General features: G+C 37.6%; 1 protein-coding gene and 1 long non-coding RNA gene across 4 annotated transcripts in view; one reads left to right on the forward strand and one right to left on the reverse strand.

Moving 5' to 3' along the window:
- CARNMT1-AS1 (CARNMT1 antisense RNA 1) overlaps positions 1 to 21,398 on the forward strand; it is a 44,418-nt gene that overhangs the window by 12,440 nt on the left and 10,580 nt on the right. Inside the window, exon 2 of the long non-coding RNA NR_121183.1 lies at positions 10,458 to 10,555. This is a non-coding gene — a long non-coding RNA (CARNMT1 antisense RNA 1). The remainder of the gene's footprint in view (positions 1 to 10,457; positions 10,556 to 21,398) is intronic.
- The window catches only part of CARNMT1 (carnosine N-methyltransferase 1), a 47,641-nt gene continuing 41,628 nt past the window's right edge, over positions 15,386 to 21,398 (reverse strand). For 2 of the 3 annotated variants that reach the window (NM_152420.3, NM_001320497.2), the window contains exons 7-8: positions 19,503 to 19,606; positions 15,386 to 18,464 (exon numbers count right to left, since the gene is read on the reverse strand). In NM_152420.3, the coding sequence (NP_689633.1) occupies positions 18,363 to 18,464; positions 19,503 to 19,606 (206 nt within the window). In that variant the 3' untranslated portion in view covers positions 15,386 to 18,362. The remainder of the gene's footprint in view (positions 18,465 to 19,502; positions 19,607 to 21,398) is intronic. The other variant, NR_135282.1, reaches the window with a different exon arrangement.

Below are 21,398 nucleotides of genomic sequence, written 5' to 3' on the forward strand. Positions count from 1 at the left end.
CAGATTCCAATGAAAAAGAAATTTATGAAGTACCAGAAAAAGAATTCAAAATAATGATATTAAAGAAGCTCAGTGAGATAGAAGAGCACACAACAAATACAAAAAATAATGAGAAATTTACCAAAGACGCAACGATCATGAAAAAAAAAAAACACCAAATTTTGGAACTGATGAATTCACTGAATGAAACACAATATACATTTAAAAGCTTCAAAAATAGATCAAGCAGAACAAAGAATTGCAGAACTTGCAGACAGGTCTTTTGAAATAACCCAGTCAGACAAAAATAAAGAAAAAAGAATGAACAAAGCCTACATGACATATGGGACACCATAAAATGACCAATATTCAAATTTTTGGTGTTCCAGAATGCAAAGAGAAAAGGGATAGAAAATCCATTTAATGAAACAGTAGCTGAAAACTTCCCTGGTCTAGTAAGAGATTTAAAGATCCAATACAGGAAGTTTAGAGATCCCCAAACAGATGCAATTCAAAGAGGTCTTCACGACACATGGTCGTCAAATTTCAAAGACAGAGAATTCCAAAAACAGCAAGAGGATAGTGTCTAGTCACTTATAAGGGATCCCCCAACTGACTAAGCAGAATTCTCAATGGAAACCCTACAGGCCAGGAAAGAATGGGATGGTATAGACAATGAGCTGAGAGAAAAAACTGCCAGCCAAGGACGCTACACCCAGCAAAGTTATCCATCATAAATGAATGAGAAGTAGTCTTTCCCAGACAAGCAACAGTTGAGGGAATTCATCACACTAGGTGAGCCCTACAAGAAATGTTTAAGAGAGTCCTGGAAGGAAAACAATGATACACACCACCACAAAAACACAAAATTACAAACCCCACTGGTAGAGCAAAGACACAAATGAGAAAGGACTCAAACACTACCACTACAGAAAACCACCAAATCACAATAATAAATAAGAGAGAAAGGGAGGAACAAGGGATATATAAAACAAGTAGCTATCAAGTAATAAAATGACAGGAATTAGCTCTTACGTATCAATAATAACCTTGAATGTAAACAGATTAAACTTTTCACTTGAAAGTTACAGGCTGGCCAAATGGATTTAAAAAAAAACGTGGCCCATCCGTAAGCTGCCTAAAAGAAACTCGTCTCACTTGTAAGAACATATACAGACAAATGAAAGACATGGAAAAAGAGATTCCAATCAAATGGTAATCAAAAAAAGCAGGGGTAGCTATACTAATGTTAGATAAAACAGACTTTAAGTCAAAAACTGTTAAAAGAGACAAAGAAGGTCACTATATAATGATAAGTGGATTAACAGAGCAAGAGGATATAACAATTATAAATAAATATGTACCCAACATTAGAGCACCCAGATATATAAAGCAAATATTAGATCTAAAGAGAGAGATGGACTGTAACATAGAGTTTGGGACTTCAACATACCACTTTCAGAATTAGACCAACTATATGGAAAATTAACAAACATTTACACTGCACTTTAGACCTAATGGACCTAAACAGAACATTTCATCCTACAGCTATAGAATACACTTTCTCCTAATCAGCACATGAAGCATTTTCCAGCACAGACCATATGTTAAGCCACAAAACAAGTCTCAACAAATTTTTAAAATAGAAATCACATCAATTATCTTCGCAGACCACCATGGGATAAAACAATAAATAAGTAGCATGGGCTGGGCGTGGTGGCTCATGCCTGTAATCTCAGCACTTTGGGAGGCCGAAGCAGGCGGATCACCTGAGGTCAGGAGTTCGAGACCAGCCTGGCCGGCATGGTGAAACCCCGTCTCTACTAAAAATACAAAAAATTGGCCGGGCATGGTTGCGTGCACCTGTAATCCCAGCCACTCGGGAGGCTGAGGCAGGAGAATTGCTTGAACCCAGGAGGCAGAGGTTGCAGTGAGCTGAGATGGTGCCACTGCACTCCAGCATAGGCGACAGAGTGAGACTCCGTCTCAGAAAAAAAAAAGAAGAAGAAAAAAAAAAGAAGTAGCATGAGGAACTTCGGAAACTGTACAAATACACAGATATTAAATAATATGTTCCTGAATGACCACTGGGCAAGGAAGGAGTTAATGAGGAAATTAAAAAGAAAACTTTTTTTGCAACAGGATCTCGCTCTGTTGCCTAGGCTGCAGAGCAGTAGTACGAACATAGCTCACTGCAGCCTCAACCTCCCAGGATCAAGTGGTTCTCCAGCATCAACCTCCTTAGTAGCTGGGACCACAGCTGTGTGTCACTATGCCCAGCTAATTTTTAATTTTTTGTAGAGATGGGGTGTTGCCATGTTGCTCAGCCTGGTCTCGGCTCCTGGGCTCAAGTGATCCTCTTGCCTCAGCTTCCCAAAGTGCTAGGACTATAGGCGTGAGCCACCACACATGGCCAAAAAGTCTCTCGAAACAAATAAAAATTAAAACACAACATATTGGCTGGACACAGTGGCTCATGCCTGTAATCCCAGTTCTTTGGGAGGCTGAGGCAGAGGATCACTTGAGGTCAGTAGTTTAAGATCAGCCTATGCAACATAGCAAGACTACATCTCTACAAACAACATTTTTTAAATTAGCTGGGCATGGTGGTGTGCACCTGTAGTCCTAGCTACTTGGGAGGCTGAGGCGGGAGTTCAAGGTTAAAGTGAGCTACAATCACACGACTGCACTCCAGCCAGAGTGATAGAGCAAGTCCCTGTCTCTAAAACAGCAACATACAAAAACCTATGAGATACAGCAAAAACAATGCTAAGAAGGGAGTTTATAGCAGTAAACACATCAAAAAAGTAGAAAGATTTCAAACAATCTATTGATGCACTTCAAGGAACCAGGAAGGCAACAAACCAAACCCCAAATTAGTAGAAGTTAAGAAATAATAAAGGTCAGAGGAGAACTAAACAAGCAGATAAAAGAGTAAGGCACAGTGGTGCAAGCCTGTATACCAGCTAATCTGGAGGCTGAGGAGGGAGGATTGTTTTCACTCAGGAGTTTGAGACCAGCCTGGGTAACATAGCAAGACCCCATCTTAAAAAACAAAACAAAACAAACAAACCTGGCCAGAGTAATCAGACAAGAGAAAGAAGTAAAGGGCATTGAAATTGGAAAAGAGAAAGTCAAACCATCGACGTTCATTGATGATATGATTGTATACCTAGAAAACCCTAAAGACTCATCCAAAAAGCTCCTAGATCTGATAAACAAACTCAGTAAAGTCTCAGGATACAAAATCAATGTACACCAATCCGTAGCACTGCTATATGCCAACAACGATCGAGCTGAGAATCAAATCAAGAACTCAATCCCTTTTAAAATAGCTGCAAAAAATAAAATAAAATACCTAGGAATATACTTAACCAAGGAGGTGAAAGATCTTTATAAGGAAGACTACAAAACACTGCTGAAAGAAATAATAGATGACACAAATGGAAACACATTCCATGATCATGGATGGGTAGAATCAATATTGTGAAAATGACTACACTGCCTAAAGCATTCTACAGATTCAATGCAATTCCCATAAAAATATCATCATCATTCTTCACAGAATGAGAAAAAACTCCTATAATTTATATGGAAGCCAAAGTGAGCCTGTGCAGCCAAAGCAATACTAAGCAAAAAGAACAAATCTGAAGGCATCACATTACCCCACTTTGACTGTACTATAAGGCTATAGCTACCAAAATAGCATGAGACCAGTATAAAAACAGGCACATAGACCAATGCAACAGAATAGAGAGCACAGAAATAAAACGAAATACTTACACCTACCTGATCGTTGACGAAGCATACAAAAACATAAATTGAGGAAGGGATACCCTATTCAATAACTGGTACTGGAAAAATTGGCAAGCCACATGTAGAAGAATGAAACTGGATCCTCATCTCTCACCTTATACAAAAATCAGCTTAAGATGGATCAAAGACTTAAATCTAAGACCTGAAACCATAAAAATTCTAGAACATCAGAAAAACTGTTCTGGACATTAGCTTAGGCAAACACTCATGACTAAGGCCCCAAAAGCAAATGCAACAAAAATAAAAATAAATAAATGGGACCTAATTAAACTAAAAAGCTTCTGCACAGCAAAAGAAATAGCAGAGATAACACACAGTGGGAGAAAATATTTGCAAACTATACATCTGAAAAAGGACTAATATCCAGAATCTACATTTGGATATTTGAACAAATTTGAACAAATCAGCAAGAAAAAAAAAACAAATAATCCCATCAAAAAGTGGGCAAAGGACACAAATAGACAATTTTCAACAGAAGATACACAGCCAACAAACATATGAAAAATGCTTAACATCATTAATTATCAGAGGAATGCAAATTAAAACCACAATGATACCACTTTACTCCTGCAAAAATAGTCGTAATTAAAAAGTCAAAAAACAATAGATATTGGTGTGGATTTGGTGAAAAGGGCATATTTTTACACTACTGGTGGGAATGTAAACTAGTACAACCACTATGGAAAACAGTATGGAGATTCCTAAAGGTAGAATTACCATCTGATCCAGCAATCCCACTATTTGGTATCTACCCAAAGGAAAAGAAGTTATTATATGAAAAAGACACGTGCACACACATGCATGTTTATAGCAGCACAGTTCACAATTGCAAAGATAATGGAACCAACCTAAGTAACCCACCAACCAACAAGTGGATAAAGAAAATGTGGTATATATACACCATGGAATACTACTCAGCCACAGAAAGGAAAAAAATAATGTCTTTTGCAGCAAGTTGAATGGAGCCGGAGGCCATTATTCTAAGTGAGGTCATCAGGAATGGAAAACCAAATATGGCATGTTCTCACTTATAAGTGGGAGCTAAGCTATGAGGATGCAAAGCAGAAGAATGATATAATGCACTTTGGGGATTTGGAGGGGGTGGTGAGGGATAAAAGACTACATATTGGGATAAAAGCAGTGTACATTGCTTGGGTGATGGGTGTGCCAAAATCTCAGAAATCACCACTGAAGAACTTATCCATGTAACCATGGATACTTTTGGTTACTTTTCCATGTAACCAAAAACCACCTGTACCCCAAAAACTATTGAAATAAAGAAAAGTTGGCTTTTAAAAGAGGATAAACAAAATGGATACTGTTAGCTAGACTAACCAAGAAAAAAAGAGACAACCTAAATAGAATAAGAAATGAAAAAGGAGACATTACAACTGATACCACAGAAATATAAAAGATTATCAGATATTATTAACAAGTAAACACTAATAAACTGAAAAACCTAGTGGAAATGAATAAATTCCTGAAAATATACAACCTACCAAGATTGAATAAAAAAGACAGAAAACCTAAACAGACCAGTAACAAGTAATGAAGCTGAAACAGTAATTTAAAAAATCTTCCAACAAAGAAATGTGCAAGACTGGATGGCTTAATTGCCAAATTCTACCAAACTTTCTAAGAACTAACACCAATTCTCCTCAAACTATTCCAAAAAATTAAAGAAGGAATTCTCCATAACTCATTTTATAAGGCCAGCATTACCTTGATACTAAAACCAGACAGAGACTCAAAAAAAAGTACAGGCCAACATCTCTGAAGAACATGCACACAAAACTCCTCAATAAGGCTGGGCGGGTGGCTCACACCTGTAATCCCAGCACTTTGGGAGGCCGAGGCGAGTGGATCATGAAGTTAGGAGATCAGGACCATCTTGGCCAATATGATGAAACCACGTCTCTACTAAAAATACAAAAATTAGCACCTGTAGTCCCAGCTACTCAGGAGGCTGAGGCAGGAGAATCACCTGAAGCCGGGAGGTGGAGGTTGCAGTGAGCCAAGATTGCACCACTGCACTCCATCCTGGGTGAAAGAGAGAGACTCCATCTCAAAAAAACAAACAAACAAACAAAAAACTCCTCAACAAATACTAGGAAACCCAATCCAACAGCATATCAATCCAACAGCATACCAACCATGATCAACTAAGATTTATCCCAGGGATTCAAGGATGATTCAACATATGCAAATCAATAAACGTGCTACATCACATCAACAGAATGAAGGACAAATACTGTATGACCATCTCAATAGATGCAGAAAAAGGATTTAATAAAATTCAACATCGCTTCATGATAAAAATTCTCAACTAGACATAGAAGAAATGTGTGTCAACATAGTAAAGGTCATATATAACACACAGTTAACATCATACAGAATGAGGAACAGCTGAACGCTTTTCCACTAAGAATTGGAACAAGACAGGGATGACTACTTTCAGCACTCCTAGTCAACACAGTACTGGAAATCCCAGCCACAGCAATCAAGTGAATGAAAGAAATAAAACACATCCAGCCTTATTGGCAATTTATATGCCTTATTGGCTCCATTAAACTTTTTAAAAACTTTAAATAAATAAATAAAAGCAATCCACATTGAAAAAGGGGAGGTCAAATTGTACCTCTTTGCAGATGATATAATCTTGTATCTAGAAGAACCTAAAGACTCCACCAAAAAAATGATTAGATCCGATGAATAAATTTGGTAAAGTTGTAAGATACAAAATCAGCATACAAAAATCAGTAGTGTTTTGGTTTTTTAAACTAGAGATGGGGTCTCGCTATGTTGCCTAGGCTGGTCTTGGACTTCTGGGCTCAAGTGATCCCCCCATCTTGGCCTCCCAAAGTGCTGGGATTACAGGCATGAGCCACAGTGCCCAGCCTCAAAAATCGGTAGTGTTTCTACACACCAATAATACACTAGCTGAGAAAGAAGTCAAGAAGGCAATCCCACTTAAAATAGTTACAAAAAAATTTAAATACCTAGGAATAAATTTAACCAAGGAAGTGAAAGACCTCTACAAGGAAAACTGCCAAACATTGATAAAAGAAACTGAAAAGGACACAAACTAATGGAAAGACATCCCAAGCATGTGGATCAGAAGAATTAATATTATTAAAATGACCATACTGCCCAAAGCATTCTACAGACTGAATACAACCTGTATCAAAATACCAATGCAATTTTTCACATAAATAGGAAAAAACACTCCTAAAATTCATATGGAACCAAAAAGAGCCCAAATAGCCAAAGGAATCCAGAGCAAAAAGAAAAGAGCTTGAGGCATCTGATTCTTCTCTTTTCGCCTTTATTAGTCTTGCTAGCGGTCTATCAATTTTGTTGATCTTTTCAAAAAACTAGCTCTGAGATTCACTGATATTTTTGAAGGGTTTTTTATGTCTCTTTCAGTTCTGCTTAGTTATTTCTTGCCTTCTGCTAGCTTTTGATTGTGTTTGCTCTTGCTTCTCTAGTTCTTTTAATTGTGATGTTAGGGTGTCAATTTTAGATCTTTCCTGCTTTCTCTTGTGGGCATTTAGTGCTATAAATTTCCCTCTACACACTGCTTTAAATGTGTCCCAGAGATTCTGGTACGGTCTTTGTTCTCATTGGTTTCAAAGAACATCTTTATTTCTGCCTTCATTTTGTTATTTACCCAGTACTCATGCAGGAGCAAGTTGTTCAGTTTCCATGTAGTTGTGCGGTTTTGAGTGAGTTTCTTAATCCTGAGTTCTAATTTGATTGCACTGTGGTCTGAGAGACAGTTTGTTGTGATTTCTGTTCTTTTACATTTGCTGAGGAGTGCTTTACTTCCAATTATGTGGTCAATTTTAGAATAAGTGCGATGTGGTGCTGAGAAGAATGTATATTCTGTTCATTTGGGGTGGAGAGTTCTGTAGATGTCTATGAACAGACATTTCTTAAAAGAAGACATACAAACGATCAACAGGAAATGTTCAACATCAGTAATCATCAGAGAAAAATCAAAATCATAATGAGGGGCTGGGCACGGTGGCTCAAGCCTGTAATCCCAGCACTTTGGGAGGCCAATGCGGGCGGATCACAAGGTCAGGAGTTTGAGACCAGCCTGACCAACATGGTGAACCCCCATCTCTACTAAAATTACACAAATAATTAGCTGGGTGTGGTGGCGTGGTGCCTGTAATCCCAGCTACGCAGGAGGCTGAGGCAGGAGAATCGCTTGAACCCCAGGAGGTGGAGGTTGCAGTGGGCTGAGGTCACACCACTGCACTCCGGCCTGGGCAACAAAGTGAGACTGTCTCAAAAAATATATATATTTTTAATATAATATGCAATATATTTTATATAAGCTATGTAATATAATCTATATTATATATAATCTATAAGTTATAATCTATACTATAATCTATAAATTATAATCTATATTAATCTATAATTATAACCTATATTATATAATCTATAATCTATATTATATAATCTATAGTTATATAATATATATAATTATATATAATATAGATAATATGTAACATACTATCTAGATTACTTTATAATATAGATTATATAATATATATATAGTGTGTGTGGTGTGTGGGAGTGGGGAGCAGACTTGTCTTGCTGTCTTTGTCAGAAATTCTAAGGGCTGTGTCTTTGTGGATTACCTTCTTTTGTTCTTCCTGCCAGAGATCATGTGAGGAGGATGTTGGGGGTAGGATTAGCTTGAATTTTTTTTTTTCATTACACTCTTCTCCTGTCTGCTCCCTGCTTAGCCCTCTGTTTTCTCATTCCTCTGGAGTTATCTTGGAGCAGCCCCTGTTGTTAGTTGGCTGGTCTTCAAAACTCTCATGTTTAGGGTTGACAATGTTGGGGGTAGGGGATCCAGCTTATTCTTTTATTTTCAAGTCCATTCTTGGGGCTGGTGGGGAGGCAGAATGCCCCTCCCTAAGCCCTTAGTGTGTGCTGAGCTTGCTTTTTGATGTTGGCAGTGGAGGGGGAACCTCCCCTCCAGTCTCCAGGGTGGTGACTGAGTTTCCTATATCAAACCCTTCAATGGGCACAAAATGGGAGTGCTTGATTTCAGGTTTTATTTTTTTCATGAATGTCCAAATCTGTGTTTCTCCCTGCCCTCCCAGACTGTGTGGTCAGTTGAAAGTGTCTGGTTTGTGTTCGTCTCTCCCTCATTTCCGGAGCAAGGCCTGAGACCCTGCCACATCTCCTATGCTCTGCATCCATGCCTCCTTTGGACATTAAAGGTTGACTGATGCAATAATAATAAATCATAATGAGGTCTCACTTTACATTAGAATACGTATTATTAAAAAGCAAAAAAAAATTACAGATGCTGGTGAGGATGTACAGAAAAGGGAACTCAAACTGTTGGTGGAAATGTAAATTAGTTCAGCCACTATGGAAAACAATAGAGAAAAAAACTAAAAATAGAACTACCATACCACCTAGCAATTCTTCTACTGGGCATTTATCCAAAGGAAATCAGTATACCAGAAGGATACATGCACTCCCATGTTTTTGACAGCTCTACTGACAGCAAAGATAAGGAATCAACCTAAGTGTCCATCAACAGATGAACAGACAAAGGAAATGTGGTCTAGATACACAATGGAGTACTATTCAGTCATAAAAGAGAGTGAAATCATGTCATTTACGGCAACATTGATGGATCTGGAGGACATTAAGTTAAATAAGCCAGGCAGAGAAAGACAAATACTGCATGTTCTCACTCATATGTGGGAGCTAAGAAAGTTGATCTCAGGGAGGTAGTGAGTAGAATGATAGCCATCAGAGGATGGGAAGGGCATATGGGTGGGAGTGGCTATGAAGAGAGGTTGGTTAATGGGTACAAACATACAGTTAGATAGAGTAAGTTCTAATGTTTGTTACAAAGTTGGGTGACTATAGTTAATAGTTAACAACAATGTATATTTCAAAATAACTAGAAAAGAGGACTTGGAATGTTCCTAATATATAGAAATAAATATTCAAGGTGATTGATACCCCAAATACCCTAAATTGATTATCACACATTCTATACATTTAACAATATCACATGTGCCCTATATAAATATGTACAAATACTATGCATTAATTAAAATTTAAAAAGCAAGACCAAGGTATGTGCTGTTAATAAGAAACCCATTTTAAATATTAAGGTAGGTTAAAAGTGAAAAAATAAGGGAAAAAAACAACAGTGCATGCAAATACTGGTAAACTCCAAACAAGGTCTGTCAGTAGTTTAGTAATAGTATTGTACCAATGTCAACTTCAAGGTTTTAATAATATGGTTACTTAAAATGCTATCTTTGGGGGAAGCTGGGTGAGAGTACACAGAACTCTCTGTATTATTTGTGTAATTTCTCATGTCTTTACTAGCATCTAGGAAACTGTAACAGACTAACTTATTAGATTGTAAATAGGGTAAACTCAAATAGCAGACTTAGCAATTTTGTTGAGAAAGGAAGGATGCTGATAGACATGGATTTCTGGATTAGGAAGGACAAGGCTCTGCAGGCCGGTTCAAGAAAATAAGACTCCCAAGATCCAGTAATGAATACGATTGCCCTACTTCTTCCCGTTTATATGCTGAGCTGCTAGAAGCAGGACTGAAAGAAGTCACCCAAATAATAACTTCATTGTTGCTCACTCTCTTCCAGGCAGAAAGAAGAAATGTTATGACAACAGAGCAGCAAGTCCCATGGTCCTAGCTAAAAGGCGGTACGGCTGTGACTGCTGAGATGGAGAGTCCTCAAAGGTAAATTAATGTGTCAGCAATGAAGGCTTTGCTATTTAATATAGAGCTTTGAGTGACCTGAAGACAGAAGTTAATTTGGTTGAATTGAGCATGGGTGGCCACTTAAAAGTGAGTGAAGGAAACACCTTGCCTAATAGTATAAAGGCAAACACCTGGTTCCTGTCAACAGTCCAACCTGGCTTATAATGAGGACAGGGCTCTGGGTGCCAGGGCAGCCAAGGCTGAAAGACTGCAGGGCAGAACACAGTGGGGTGAGCATGGACAGAAAGGAAGTTAGGATCATAATCCTGAAAAACAATTCTGAATGCCATAATCTCAAATATTGAAATACTGAAAGATCAAAGTCCCTGAAGTCTAAAAATCCAGAAAATTGCAATCCCAAAATTTCAAAATCTTGAAAACATAATGTAGGGAAAAATATCTTAAAAGTTATTTAAAAAGCATTTATTTACATTTTAAAAAGGGGATTTGAGAAACATAAAAACACTAGAGAACACTGTGTAGACCACTTCACACAATGAAATAGGCAATAACATACTTTTTGCAAGCATAAACACTCAGGCATACTAATGACAATTGCGTGGATGTAACAATTATGAGCAGATAAACTGTATTCATAAAGAAATGGGTGAAAAAGCTAAATATATAGAAGCATACACCCAGCTTTATAACTGCAGTCATCTGAAATACAGTGATAGACAACCTAAGTCTCCTGACGAGATCAATCAAAAACTTCAATGGGGGGGGCGGGCGTGGTGGCTCATGCCTGTAATCCCAGCACTTTGGGAGGCCGAGGCAGGCAGATCACTTCAGATCAGGAGTTCGAGACCAGCCTGACCAACATGGTGAAACCCTGTCTCTACCAAATATACAAAAATTAGTCGGGTGTGGTGGCAGGCATCTATGATCCCAGCTACTCAGGAGGCTGAGGCAGGAGAATTGCTTGAATCCAGTAGGTGATTACAGTGAGTCCAGATCACGCCACTGCACTCAAGCTGGGGCAACAGAGCAAGACTCCATCTCAAAAGGAAACAACAACAAAAAAACAAAAAACAAAAAACAAAACTTGGCTGGGCATGGTGGCTCACGTCTGCAATTCCAGCACTTTGGGAGGCCAACATGGGCGGATCACCTGGGGTCAGGAGTTCAAGACCAGCCTGGCCAATATGGTGAAACCCTGTCTCTACAAAAATACAAAAATTAGCCAGGCGCGGTGGTGGGCGCCTGTAGTCCCAGCTACTTGAGAGGCTGATGCAGGAGAATCGCTTGAACCCAGGGGGCGGAGGTTGCAGTGAGCTGAGATGGTGCCACTGCACTCCAGCCTGGGCGACAGAGCAAGACTCTGTCTTGAAAAAACAAACAAAAAAACCAAAAACCTTCAGTGGGTCACCACCACATACACATTAGCCCAAAGAGCCAAGATTTTCAGAAATTTTATCTTTGACAAATGCAGATGTACAAAGAGGACATCTCTTCCTTTACTGAGGAAGTTTCTACATTTTTACATACATGCATAATGCTTACACATGGTTAATGCTGTGATAATGTAGTTTGTGGTGTCAAATTTCTGATGTCGAAGGCAGCAGCAGAAAATTTGTCCCAGCTCTGAGAGGGACTAATTTGCCTTCTCTGTTCTCTATAGGCCCCTGGCTGATTGGACGGCTCCTGCCAACACTGAGGACAGATCTTTCCCACTTAGTCCACTGAGACTCACATACACGTCTCCCCTAGAAGGACTCTCACAGATACACTGAAAATAATGCCTTACTAGGTTTCTAGGTATTCCTTAATCCAGACAAGGTGACACCTAAAACTATGTCCATAAGTCCACTTCTTGTCAATTTGGCACCTATATGAATCCCCTTAAACTGTAATTTCCTAGTAGAGACAATAACAAGGTAATAGTTCTGCCTGTCGTGATGCAAGTACACTGCATACAACTGAAAACACATTAATCCCTTCCCCAGAATTTGTCTCACGGGATTTCAAAGATTTTAATCCATTGAAATTTTAGATGTTAGGGACTTTAGACCTTAAGGATTTTGGTATTTCAGGATTTCAACATTCAGGATTATGTATTTTGAGATTATGATCAGCACCAAAGTAAGGGGTCTTGGAAGCTGGACACTCATTGGATGCTGGAGATAGATGGGGGAAGAAGTAGCAGCAGTGCTCAGGTACTGAACCTGGAGACAGTGGTCAATGGAAAAAAATGCTGAGAATCAAATTTCTTTCCCACCACCACTGAGAAAAATAAAAACACAAGAGAACACTTTGCAGGCCACTCCACACATTGAAATAGGCAATAACATTTTTTTGCAAGCATAAACACTCAGGCATACTAATGACAATTGTGTGGATATAACAATTATGAGCAGATGAACTGTATGCCCCACCACCATTGCTCCTACTGTCATTGTAGACTAGCTTCCTCTGCCACCTGGAACTCCCAACTGGGGGATAACCTGATCTTTTGGAATCTGTGCTGTAGCACCTGATGCACATGTTAAACTTCTTGGTCTGTGTTCCTACAGGAAAAAAGGCACTTTAATTCAACTGACAGGGTTTGGACAGGGCTTGGAGTGGGGAAGGAAAACTGAAATTGTTAGGGGCCAGGGAGAGCTGAGCAGGCACGTCGAACAGTCAAAGCTTTAATCACTTACTGAAATAGCAAGAGGTTAAACTAGAGAAAGTGCCAACTCTCTTCTGTCCTATCCCAGCCCCCAAGTTTTTGATGAGGAGCTGGACCCCTCAAAAATAATGTCACCATGGTTCTTTGGACATATTCAATGTATGTATAATAGAATTCGTGGATTTTATGCCTGCACTTCTTGGTCTATATCTCATTCCATCTCACTTTCAAGGAATACGGCACAGACTGACCTCCCTCCCCAGGTGGTCCAGTATAAGTAATATAGGCCTCCAAGAGGAGAAGTTTCAAAGACTTAATGGCTGCCTGAGTACTCAGAGAGGCAACAGCTCAATACTAACAATCACAACAGCTGCCTGACCCAGCCACCACATACATCTTTATATGTTAACAAAAGAAGGCAGCTATTAATCTGCTAAGCTTTTGTTGAAACTTAATGTGACTTAACATGGGTCTTCTGACTCTTTGGCTTGACATCCCCATTTTGGGATGGGTCAACTTCGACTTGATGACTAACAAGGTGAAAAGTATCTAACAAGCCTTGCTAGTCAAAGAGAAATAGCATAGCTGGCCTGGCCCTAGCAGCTTTTTGGTCCTACATGAAAAAATGGCAGCTATCCTTTTGGAGGTAAACTGTACGGCCAACTCCACTGCATAAAGCAATCCCATTGGTTCAATGGGGCCCTTGACTTAGTTTCCCCTAAATTTCTGGGTCTACTTCATGAATTGTTTGGCTACAATGAAACATAATGGAGTCCAATGAGGAGCTGCTGCTGCTGTTCAGCTTCAGTGCCAGCTATGTAAATCCAAAAGCAGATGTGGCTGCTCCTCTCAATTACTAGAACTCAAGGCAGTCCTCATGGCTCTGGCCAATACTCTCCCTGATGAACCTCACTATGTTTTAATTAGGTTTGGAGCTGTTGCCAATGGCCTATCAGGTCTGCCACATGAAATCATATAGACTGTCAGATTAAAAACACTTCTCTTTGGCCATTAAACTCAGAGAAATTGCTTAACTGTCCCAATAATTAAGTAAATGAATATTCAAATTAGATAACACTTCTTATACAGGCATACCTTGGAGATACTGCAGACTCAGTTCCAGACCATCATGATAAAGTGAGTCACACACATTTTGAGGTTTCCCAGTGCATATAAAAGTATGTTTATACTATACTGTAGCGTATTAAATGTGCAATAACATTTTGTCTAAAAGAACAATGTACATACTTAATTTAAAAATACGTGATTGCAAAAAAATGCTGACACAGAGACATGACATGAGCACATGCTGTTGGAAAACGACACCAATACAGACTTGTTTGATGCAGGGTCGCCACAAACCTTCAATTTGTAAAAAATAAAAAAATTAAAAAAAAATACAGTATCTGCAAGGTGCAATAAAGCAAAGTAGAATAAAATGAGGTATGTCTGTACTGACAAAAATGAAAAGCTCAGCAATATCCAGTACTGGCCACAGAATGGATATACGTTACTTTTAAACACTGTTCCTGGCATGTAAATTGGTGCAGTCCTTCTGAAAGGCAACTTTTCACTGAAAATGCACATACACACTGACTGAAAGATCCCACATCTAAATAGGTATCAAAGAGAAAGAATCAAACATATATAAGAGGGATGTGCTAGCAGGTTAATAAAAGTGGGAGTAACATGCCATTAAATTTTACTTATGCCCTCACCCATTACCTACTATTATACTTCATTATAATTCCCAACAAACTTTTGGAATCTGTATCTGTACCTACCATTTTTTACTGTTTTCCCCAGGATTCCACGGAAATCTTTTTCAAAGGGTCACTGTAAGATAATTAAAACTAATGTCCTGTTAACAATCCTCATTTTTTCCATCACTATATAGCAGTCAACACAGACTGAAATTACATTTATGGTAATCGTCTATCATGTGCTTTCATACACACAAAAATATATATAAAAGCTCATATGACCTAATAAACCATCTGAAATAGATGGTATTAATCCTCTCTTACAGATGAGGAAATAAGCCAAAGAGTGGCTTGCCTGAGATCACAATCATTCAGGAAAATGAACCCAGAAGATCTAAGTGCTCATCCCACTGATGGCTGGTCCTAGAACTGTCTTCTACTAGTTCCTTTTATAGTTCTTTTTCCATTATTTAACAAAACTGAAAATCAAGATTATTCATTTTCCTCAATGGATTCTAACTTTATTACAGTGAACTTGAATGAAACAAAGTGAAAATAGTTAGTATAAGGCCTGGCATATTATAAGGCGAAGTATTCATGTTACTGACTTCTTAGAAGCATATAAAAATAGGCTAATCCAAGAGTTCAAAAGTATATATGCTCAACTCATTAAAATCCCCACATCTATAGTTACATTAATTTAGATGAAAACCAAGCAACTATCGTTTCATAGCAATTGGCAGACTTTAATATTCAAGAAAAATTAATTTCATCATACACATTAAAAATATAGGAAATTTCATGCAGACATGAAGCTTCCAATTCAGCTTTTGTGGCAACTTTTAGAATGAGAGTTACATATAAATACAGTACATTTTACAGTTACCAAACTTCATAATTTTATACTGTGATTTTTACAGCTTCTCCTTATATTGTACATGTTCCACCTTGCTCACTTGATTAGCATACCCTATATCTGCACTGCTTCAGAATATAGAAATTAAACAAAAAAACATAAGCACAGTGGACTATCTCCTCCCATTTCATAAAGTAAATGAAAATGTTTGTGTATAAAGCTAATTTAAGAAAAACATTTTAAACTTTAAGGCTTACATACTTTAGTAGCTAGGACTAAAATTAAGAAATACAAAGCTAAATAAATCCTCCAGTGATACTTCTATTATTGATTGATACCACATTTTCAAGTTTAGAATATATTAACTGCAAAAGCTGTAAGAAAAGAAGTGATGCAAATTTGTATAGAACATTTAAAAAACAATATTCATGATATGAGGGATAAATTAACAAATGAAGTAACTGATTTCAGAATTAACTAAAACATATGCTATAATTTAGAAATTTAACATTATTAAAGAAAACCTAATAGAAAAAAAATTAATTAATAAAGCCAACCCACCAGTGTCAACCTGTTTTTGCCTGTGACAAAAACAAAGATCATTTGTTTTGATACAAGTTGTAAAAAAGTGAATACTAGTCAGTGAATAAAAAGCATGTCTAAGCCATTGAAAAACAGCATGCATTCCTTTCTGTTCGATTGATTTTTAAAAAATACTTATGTACTTTGCAAGTTTTCTTCTTTTAAAACAATAATTTGAGTTTTTTTTTTCTTCCTTGCCACTAAATTCAAACTCATTCATGTAAGTAATAAGAATTTCCACCAAATGAACATCTGCTAAGTATTGAGGGACACAAAAAAGAGAAATCTTAAAAAAAAAAAAAAAAGGTTACAGTCTTCCCAATTTTGACATGTCAGATTAACTACATGAAACCCTCTATTGCATAGTGAGAGTAAAGGTCACAAAAGTCCCATCACTGTACACGGAAAAGGTCCCCCCAACTAGTAAGATGCCAAATAGGGTAGTGACTCCCCAGCCTAAGTGACAACAAAGGTCTAAAGATTTACAAGTAACTTTTCCTATTAAAACATGACATTTATGCGACCAGCACATTACTGAGATTAAATCCATCTAATTTAAATTGCCACAGAGGTCATTTAAAGCAATCACAATCATCTGTGAAAATATTCAAGAAGAGTTCTTCCTTTTCTCCAAGAAAAGGCTAAAACATTAGTCATCTCTACTTTCCAAGCTACTGGAAACAGAATATCATACATTAAAAAATACAAAGGAAAACTCCCTCCAATAAAGATCTGCTAGAGGTAGAAATTTAAAGCAGCATATACTGTTTAAGCTCCATCTATCAGGGAACAAAATTGGTATTAATCTGAAATTACATGATGGCTGCTGCTTACAATATTGAAGACACAGACCACGGGCAGTAATATATCCCTGAATTTCATAATCAAAATTCCCCACATTAATACTATTATGACAGTTTTTCCTAGTATATAATTTTTTTAATGAAAAAAGTGCTTGCTTTCATAATCCAGATATTCTAAAGAAAAGACATTATTGTAAACATCACACTGTCAAACTCTGTATTCATTTAGAGTCTGAAAATCACATATTTCAAATGGGTAAATTTTATTCTTATTTTCTCTGTTTCCTAGCACTACTTTTAATAAAGGCTTTTTATTTCTCACTTTGAATGTTGAGATCTCGTATATTTCAAAGTGATCCATGATGAGTATGCTTTCATAAAGTGTTCAGTTTATTGTGGCCAAAAGACTTTGATATTTCTGTTACTTGAATATATTTTACCGGCCTGTGATGCTATTAAATTTAACATTTCATAAAAAAGAAATGTTTGATGCTTCTTTAAGTTCATCTGAGCCAGAAAATACAAAATTAAATTAATCTGAATGATAAAATAGACACAGGCCAGGCGCGGTGGTACATGCCTACAGTCCTAGCTACTCAGGAGGCTAAGGCTAAGGCAGGAAGATCGCTTGAGTCCAGGAGTTTGAGGTTACAGTGAGCTATGATCGTGCCACTGCACTCCGGCCTGGGAGACAGAGCGGGATCCTGTCTCTGAAGAAAAAAAAAAAAAAAGACATATTTTACGCATAGTTTTCTTAGATTGAAAGTGAACAAAGTCCCAACTCCAGATGTTGAATATGACTGAGGATCCTTAGACTCTTCTAAAAGTTACATGTGCAATGCATACAAAACAACAAAAAAAGGAAGATTATTATGTACTTCAATACTATTAGTCATTAATTCGGCAGACTTGCAATGGACAGCATCATGAAGACACTGGAGATTAGGTTTTTTTCCTACTGAAACACAATTCTGGGCTTCAAGGAAAAAGTATACTTCAAGACATTTCCTCCATTTTTACTTGTGTAGTACAAATCTGCATGGCATAGTATATTTCTGAAAAAGCAATAGACATATTAAGAAAATAGACACTATTTCTAAATTTCGTTAGGAATAAGAAGGCACCACTGATTTGAGGTTGTGTCCTGTCATCACTGATAGTTGATTTTGAGTCGTTGATTTCAGCATTTGTTCTTACTAAACTTTTTTCCAGGTGGTATCACTTGAGACCATTATTGTGGCTTACGGACCACAAACAAGACACATTCATAGTAGTATTTCATCATAGAGAGATCATTCACAGTATATGTTGACAATACAGATTCTTTTTCCACCTGCAATGCAAACAATAATCATAATACTATGACAGTCATCATGACCACACCACTAACAAATTCTGAGCACATATGTATCAGTGGCAGGCACTATTTTAAGCATATTCATTTATTACATACAACTACCCCCATAAGAGAGGTACTATTAATATTAGTAGTCTCACTTTACAAAGAACAGTCACACTAGTAAGTGGTGGAACTGAGATTCAAACTCAGGCAGTCTTGAGCTCTGAACTACTATAATATGTTGCTTCTCGTCATTCTTAAAAACAAACCTATTGTTTCTAAAATGGAATGCTTCTAAATAAATGAACTGAAACACAATAGCCAAAATATCACAAAACTTTATAGTAATGCACATGATTAAAAAAAGATGAAGCAGTACACAAGGACATATTGTGAATATCCCTCTTACACCTGCCCTCCGACCCCCTTTTGTTTTCCCCAGAGCCTACTCTACTTTCTATCAGTGAGAGTCTGTAAGATCAGTATTATAATGATCGGCTACCATTTATTGAAAGGCTATTTCACCAGAAAGTAGTTTTCCCTTTATGTACACATTATCCCAAATCCTTATAATTCTGAAAACTAAGGAACACAGGTCAAGCATCCCTAATCTGAAAATCTGAAACGCTTCAAAATCCAAAATGTTTTGAGCGCCTACATAATGCCACAAGTGACAAATTCCACATCTGACTTCATGTGGCAGGTGGTCAAAATTTTAAAATATTGTATCAAATTACCTTCGGGCTATGCTTATAAGGCATATATAAAACATAAATGAATTTCACATTTAGACTTCAGTCCCCTCCCAAGATATGTCACGTATATGCATATATTGCAAAATTGGAAAAAAATCCAAAATCCCAAACATTTCTGGTCCCAAGCATTTTGAATAGGGGATACTCAACCTGTATTATCTTCCCTTTATAGATAAGAAAACAGAGAATTCAAATAGTCACTAACAGCCATGATATCAACACTTCTGTTGAGGTGCTTTGGGAGTTAAACTTTGGCAATATTTTATTCCATTCTTACCTCTACCTTGAATCCATACTGCAGAACAACGTTTTTTATATCCTCATAGCTCAATTCTATGGAAAGTTCATTTGCCAGATTTTCAAAGTGGTACAGCAGAGGACCTATGGTTTAAAGATACTATGAATTACTTGAATATAAACATACACTCATAGCTGTGTTACACTGAATTCCAAGTTGAGTAAGTTAGGTACTGGATGAGACAAACATAAAAAGTCTGGGCATTTGCTGAAAATGCCCAGACCTCTGAAAATTTGGCCTAGTATCTCAAGAGTTGGGCCTACACTCATGAGGAGTGAGTCCCTCTGGCATACCTGCCTTGCACTGTGATTCACACCATGGGCCTTCACCTTTAACTTGCAAGTTACTGAAGGAGTAGATGAATCAGAGAATGCTAAGTCCTCAAATTCCAAATGTATTCTGCAATTATAATTCCATAAGCAAATGCAAAACTGCAGTTACCAACTGTATATCATATGAAAACAAAGGAGGAGCCTCAAGTTAACCTAGGTAGTAAAAGGTGGACAGGAGTTATATGGAAGGTTTCCTGAAAGGAAGAAGTAACATTAGAGCTGGCTTTTATTTTTTTAAGTGCACTGTTCATATCCCAGCTCTAACATCTAATAATTGTGTGTCTGTGGGCAATTCAATAACTCCACTTCATCTACAATATGACTTTTTTTTTTTTTGAGACAATCTCACTCTGTTGCCCAGGAAGGGTGGGGTGCAGTGGCATGATCTGGGCTTACTGCAACCTCCACCTCCCAGGTTCAAGTGATTTTCCTGCCTCAGCCTCCTGAATAGCTGAGATTACAGGAACCTGTCGCCACGCCAGGCTAATTTTTATATTTTTAGTAGAGACAGCGTTTCACCATGTTGGCCAGGCTGGTCTTGAACTCCTGACCTCAAGTGATCCACCAGCCTTGGCCTCCCAAAGTGTTGCGATTACAGGCGTGAGCCACCGTGTGTGCCCTGTAGTATGACTTTAATGTGAGATAATATGTATTACACCTGTCATAAACAAGGCACTAAGTAAATGGCAGGTATTACACTGTTTATATGACATCCTCCCTTTACTATTTGCTCATTCTATACATTCAAGAAATGCACATATGATTTAAAGCATGATTTTCAAATCTTTCAATCTATCATTTTGCCCAATCCATCAACCTCATCCAGGAACCATTATCACTTAACACAGTTATATATACCTCAGGCTAATCTAGACAATCTTCTCTTTACCTTTCATTGGGTTAATTATAAATCCTGCAACCAGCTCTCTACTCCTACTCCCCATACAATGTGCTAATCATGGAAGACAGAAGTATTTAATAACAAGACAAAGGTTCTGCTACCAAGAGGCTTAACATTCTGTGGATCACAGGGTAAAAAAGTTTTTCTTTCTCTCTCCTTTCTGTATCCTACATAAACGACTAGAAAAAATGACCATGAATATAATGTATATGTTAGTGCTACTTACAAAAGATAACAATGGTTCCTTATCAAACTACTCTATCAAGCTGAAATTTGTTATATTAGTACCAGTAAAAATGATTGTTTTCTACCATTTCCTGAGCACTGCTGTTTCCTAGACTACCCAAAGCTTTTATAAGAATGCAGAGCCTCACAGCAGAGTCTTTCCAGCTTTTAAAGATTATGCTGTTCCTGTTCCATTAAGAGCCTCCAATAACATAGTTTTATTATCTCTACATACATACATATATTCCAATGATTTTTACATACTTAGACCATTTTTACCTCTAGTCATGGTGTGTTCCACCTAGAAAGCTCCAACCCTCCAACTCAAGCTTTAGCCGTGCTTCAAAACCTTGCTGAAATCCATCCAAGTCTTCATCCCTACTGCTCATTCTTCTTAATGTGGCATATTTTAACACT

This window comes from Homo sapiens, chromosome 9 (assembly GCF_000001405.40).
Source record: "Homo sapiens chromosome 9, GRCh38.p14 Primary Assembly".
NCBI classification, from domain to species: Eukaryota; Metazoa; Chordata; class Mammalia; order Primates; family Hominidae; genus Homo; species Homo sapiens.